At 34.5% G+C, this 6,077-nt stretch overlaps 1 pseudogene; it reads right to left on the reverse strand.

Annotated features, from left to right (window-relative positions):
• The window catches only part of LOC101927264 (UDP-glucuronosyltransferase 2B10-like), an 11,258-nt pseudogene extending 7,496 nt beyond the window's left edge, over positions 1-3,762 (reverse strand).
• Positions 3,763-6,077: the final 2,315 nt, after the last annotated feature.

Raw genomic sequence — 6,077 nt, forward strand, 5'->3', positions numbered from 1 at the left:
AGAGATTAAGAATGAGAGCAGGGGATGTTAGGTAATAAAACTACTCAAAGACTGATGTAAACAGAATGCTAACATTTCATTTTCTTAACTTTTATAATTAGTTAAGTATATAAGGAAATCAAGATTTTCCAAATAATAGCTTAGAAAAATGAGATTATCAATGAAAAGTTGAAGTATTTAAAAAATTGTTATGCTTTTCAAAAGAAGACCTACGTGTGGCCAACCATCACATGAAAAAAAGCTTACCATCACTGCTCATTAGAGAAAAGCAAATCAAAATCACAGTAGATACTATCTTGCACCAGTCATAATGGGTATTATTAACCCAAAAGATAATATATGCTAGTGAGATTGTGTAGAATAAGGAATGCTTATACTCTGTTAATGGGAGTGTAAGTTGGTTCAACCATTGTGGAAGACTGTGTGGCACTTCCTCAAAAACCTAGAGGCTAAAATACAATTCAACTCACCAATCCCATTAGTGGGTATATATCCAAAGGATGATGAATCATTTTCTTATAAAGTCACATACACGTTTATTAATAGCAGTAGTATTCACAATAGTAAAGACATGGTATCAACCTTAATGCCCATCAATGATTGACTGAATAAAGAAAACACAATGGGGTTCATATACACCGTGGAATATTATGCAGCCATAAACAAAAAACAAGATTTTGTATTTTACAGGGACATAGATGGAACTGGAGGCCGTTATCCTTAGCAAACTAGCATAGAAACAGAAATCCAAATACCACATGTTCTCACTATAAAGTGGAAACTAAAAGATGAGAACACATGTGTTGGGAACAGGCCTCCCAAAATCTGGCCATAAACTGGCCCCAAAACGGCCATAAACAAAATCTGTGCAGCACCGTGACATGTTCATGATGGCCATAATGCCCATGCTGGAAGATTGTGGGTTTACCAGAATGAGGGCAAGGAACACCTGTCCTGCCCAGGGTGGAAAACTGCTTAAAGGCATTCTTAAGCCACAAACAATAGCATGAGCAATCTGTGCCTTAAGGACATGCTCCTGCGGCAGTTAACTAACCCAACCTATTCCTTTATTTTGGCCCATCCCTTCATTTCCCATAAGGGATGCTTTTAGTTAATCCCATTTCCCATAAGGGATACTTTTAGTTAATTGAATATTTATAGATAGAATGCTAATGCCTGGCTCGCTGTTAATAAATACGTGGGTAAATCTCTGGGGCTCTCAGCTTTGAAGGCTGTGAGACCCCTGATTTCCCACTTTACACCTCTATATTTCTGTGTGTGTGTCTTTAATTCCTCTGGCACCACTGGATTAGGGTCTCCCCGACTTAGCTGGTCTCGGCACACATGGAAACAGAGCAGGGAACAACATACACTGGGGTGTATTGGAGGCTGCAGGGCAGGAGGAGAGAGAAGATCATGTAAAATAACTAATGGGTACTGGTCTTAATGCCAGGGTGAGAAAACAATCTGTAAAACAAACCCTCATGACACAAGTTTATCTATGTAACAAAGCTGCACCTGTACCCCTGAACTTAAATGTTAAAAAATAAAATTAATTTTAAACACATAATTCTAAAAAATTATATGTATAAAAAATTTAAATAGTCATTATAATTCTAGTGAGAAAAAGCAGTAACAATCTAGTATTGACCTGTGTTATTTTATGTATTTATACTAGTTTTCATCTTCCAAATTAAGTATTAATTTATTCATTTTTTAGTAACATGGGAAGTAGTTCATGTATTTCTGCTTGTCTGTAAGTTATTATATTAGAGTCTGGTGTCCTCTGATTGATAAAAATGCAAGTAGATAAAATAAGCTACTTATAAGAAATAAATTAATGCTACAAAGGTAGCATGTATAAGTTCTTTGGAATTATGAATTATCAAGCACTACTTCCAGGAGAAATTTCAAGGGAAAATTTTTGAGACAAATTCAGACTATTATCAGTATTGCTAATTTTGGTTGTTTTTTCAGCACTGAAATAAGGAATCTTATTCATAAATAAAGATATAGCTGTTGAATAAATTCAAAATTGTATTTTTCTGAATTTGGTCAAATGATTGTTAACACTTAGACAATGTGCTACAAAGCTTTGACAATAGTGATTAATATGTTCTATTATAGCCAAGACATTTTTATGTTTAAGTTACTAATTTTGGAACTCCCAAGCAATCCTCATCAACTGAAGAATAATTTACAGTGTTTAACTTTTACTTGTTATATCAGTATTAAAATAACTGAGTTTTCAGCAAAAATGTTAGTATAGGTCATTACAAGAAGACTATATCAGATAATACGGAACTAAAAAGTAATTGACAAATACACCTATGTCATCATTTTATTCTATATAAAAGAAAATATGTTTCTACTATGTTCTACGGAGGGGGCATCTGAACCTGTTCCCCTGCCTGGCTTCCTTCTGTTTGACCCTTTCCTATATTTCCTTCTGCTGCCTCCACTGGGTGGAGTTGTTAATCTCATAGTTAGGGCTGCGTCCTTGTGGGGCCACATTTTATACAGCATAGGATTCACCTTCAGGTCAGGATCTATCTCCATCCTTTCTCTTTAATCTTCCTGTTTCAGACACTGGCTGGGCCCAGTCCAGCAGGGGAGGCTGCTTTTTTTCTCTTTCTCTAAATCTACCTGGCTGGGTGGGAACTTGGACTAATCTGTCAACCTAGGCCATTCTTTCTCTGAATAGTACCCTGAACATCACTCAGATAGGCCTATTCCAAAATGTAGAGGAAGTATACGAGGCCGGATTACATGGCAAGCCTAAACTGCATGATGCATGTTAGACATTTTGAAATACCTGCTATTGTTATTGTGCTAGTGAAGTCACCCATTAAAATGTAACTTCTTCTGATAACATCTGTAGCATGTACAATGTCCTTAGGAATCCTTAAACATAAGGATCAAATAACAAGGAAAGAATTTGGTGATATCCTGACCCCAATATCATGGTAATACCAAAACTTTACCTACCCCTCTTAATATATTTATTCCTGATCACAATATTAGTGCCAAATGTATTTATCCATGAATATACCCTTTGTATTATTTTAGCATCTTCCATGTATATTTCTGATCTTGAACTAATATCTGATAATTAGTGCTTTCCCAACAGCTACATTTCTAGGCAGGAAATTTCTATAATTGGATTCTTTACAGAATTTAACAGCCTCTTTTAGTAGTTTTCCATACCAGTAAGGCACTTTATCTATCTTTCTGCGGCATCTTGGCAAGAGCTGATGCAATTATATTGGTCCTTTCTTCTTTCATGTTACTGACCATTAACCCCAGAGAAAACACTACAACACCATTTTCTCCAGAGCTCTGGAAAAACTCTTCCATTTCCTGTGAAAAAAGAATTTGTTCCATCACAAAAGAGTAACAGCACAGCAGGCACTACTGAAAAAATTGGTACAAATTACTAAAGAGAGAAAATCAAGTATTAACAGGAATTATTGGAGTAAATTATGTCTTTTAACTGACTCAGTCACTCAGTTTCTTATCAAGACAATGTATAATATGAAGATAGCTGGCCTCTACTAAGGGTATTCATGTAAATATGTGTATGCATGCAGCACACGATGGTTTTGAATACGGCCCAACACAAACTTGTAAACTTTCTTAAAACGTTGTGATTTCTCTTGCTATTTTTTTCTCAGCTCACCAGCTATGGCTAGTGTTAGTGTATTTTAAGTGTAGCCCAAGGCAATTCTTCTTTTCCCACTGTGGTCCAGGGAAGGCAAAAGATTGGACACTCTTGGCCGGGCGCTGTGGCTCACGCCTGTAATCCCAGCACTTTGGGAGGCCGAGGCGGGCGGATCACGAGGTCAGGAGATCGAGACCATCCTGGCTAACACGGTGAAACCCCGTCTCTACTAAAAATACAAAAAATTAGCCGGGCGTGGTAGCGGGCGCCTGTAGTCCCAGCTACTCGGGAGGCTGAGGCAGGAGAATGGCGTGAACCCGGGAAGTGGAGCTTGCAGTGAGCCGAGATCGCGCCACTGCACTCCAGCCTGGGCGACAGAGCGAGACTCCGTCTCAAAAAAAAAAAAAAAAGATTGAAAAGATTGGACACTCTTGTTCTATAGGTATATTTTGTGCTTACCATGAGGATTGTATAAAAAATTTTATAATAAACATTGTGTAATAAAAATATTTTAAAAAATAAATACATAAATAAAATAGAAATAAAATAAAAATATAGAATTAAATTATTTTACATAATTAATGAAAAATAATTATAAATTATAAAAAATAAAGCATAAATAAATAATAAATAACATTAAAATATTTTAAAATAACAGTCCATTTTAAACCAAAAAAACCTTTAATTATATATGAAAACTGTATTTCTTTACATCTCCCATTTCTACTTTATGTTAGTAATATCACTAGTTATATATTTTATCTTCTGTCCCAATTAATATAAATGTAATGTTACTTTTATGCTTTTCTCTTTTAAATTGCATATCAGAATTAAAATTAACTTGTGCATCAACATTAAAAACTTATGTGACTTTATATTTAATTATTTATTTATCTTTACCAGATAGATTTATACTTTTACATTCATTCATTTTGCTACCTAGCCTCCCTCATTTCAACTTGAATGACTCCTTTTTGCTTTTCTTGTAGAACGGGTGTGGTAATAATTACCTTCTTCAACCTTTTTTTTTAACCTGAGAAAATATTCCATTTTCCATTCTGAATGACAGGTTTGCCAAATGAATGTCTTGTGTGGTAGGGATTTTTTCTTATTTTTCTTTCAATACTTTGAATATATTATGTCGCTTACTTTTGGTTTAAAAAGATATCCTCTTGTATCTTGTTGATATCATGTGAATTCCCTTTTATGTCATGATCCATTTTTTCTTTTTCTGCTTCCAATATTCTTTGTCTGTGACTTTTGAAAGACTGATTATAATATTTATTGGTGTAAAATTTTTGAATTGATTTCAGTGTACAGTAGTTGTGTTTTAAAACAATTCTACATCCATATTTTTTCTCAAATTTGGGAAATTTTCTGCCTGCCATTAATTCTTTAAATAGACTTTTTGCCTCAATCTTTTCCTCTTGTCCCATGAGGGCTCTCGTAATGCATAACTGGTCTGGTTAACAATGTCCCATAAGTGTCAGGCTTTCTTCACTTTATTATCATATTCTTTTTGCTCCTCTCCCTTAATAGTTTCAAATGGCCAATATTTTCAAATTCATGAATTATTTTTTCTAGCTGATCAAGTCATCTATTGAATTTCTCTAGTAAATTTTTCAATTTAGTTTTTGTATTATTTAGCTCCAGAATTTCTATTTGGTTCCTTTCTATACTTTTTATGTCTTATTGATACTCTTATTTCATATATGTATTATTTTCCTGGTTTTCAAAAATGTGTCTGTGTTCTTTTAGCTAATAGAGCATCTTTAATTATTTTTGAAATTTTTGATAGGTATTTAATATATTTTGAATTTTTTGACAAGTAATTAATAGATCTTTGTTCATTCAGGCTTTAAAAAATGTTTATTTTGTTCCTTTAAATAGGTCATACTTTCTGGTGTCTGCATGTTTTGCATTTCTTTGTTTAAATTTTGAGATTTAAAGAAACACCCACATCTCCAAGTCTTTATGTACTGGCTTAGTGTAGGGAAATACCTTCATCTATCACCCCAGCTAGAGATTCTGGGAGCTTGGCAAACGTTTCCAAGAGCTGTATCCTCTCAGGGCTTTTGAATGTAATTACCAAGTTAAATAGGATTTTTTTGTTTGTTTGTTTTCAGGATTTTGTAATATTTTGCTTTCCCTCGTGCCATTCTGTAGTAATAATGCAGCTTTTTTGCTACTGCTTTAAACTGCCACACTGCCTTTATTCCCAGGCATTCAAAAGCTGTGGTTTCTATAAGTGATTTAAGTTCGGTGACAGAAATCAGACCCTTGGGATGTCCCCTAAGGAGCCGGAAAATTAGACCACATTTCACTCTCCTTTCACTCCTGTGGGAAATGTGATGACTAAGGATATTTTTTTCCTGATTGTGTAATGCTGTACTGGCTAGAGAAGGATCTATAGAGA

Source organism: Homo sapiens, chromosome 4, assembly GCF_000001405.40.
Source record: "Homo sapiens chromosome 4, GRCh38.p14 Primary Assembly".
Taxonomy (NCBI): Eukaryota; Metazoa; Chordata; class Mammalia; order Primates; family Hominidae; genus Homo; species Homo sapiens.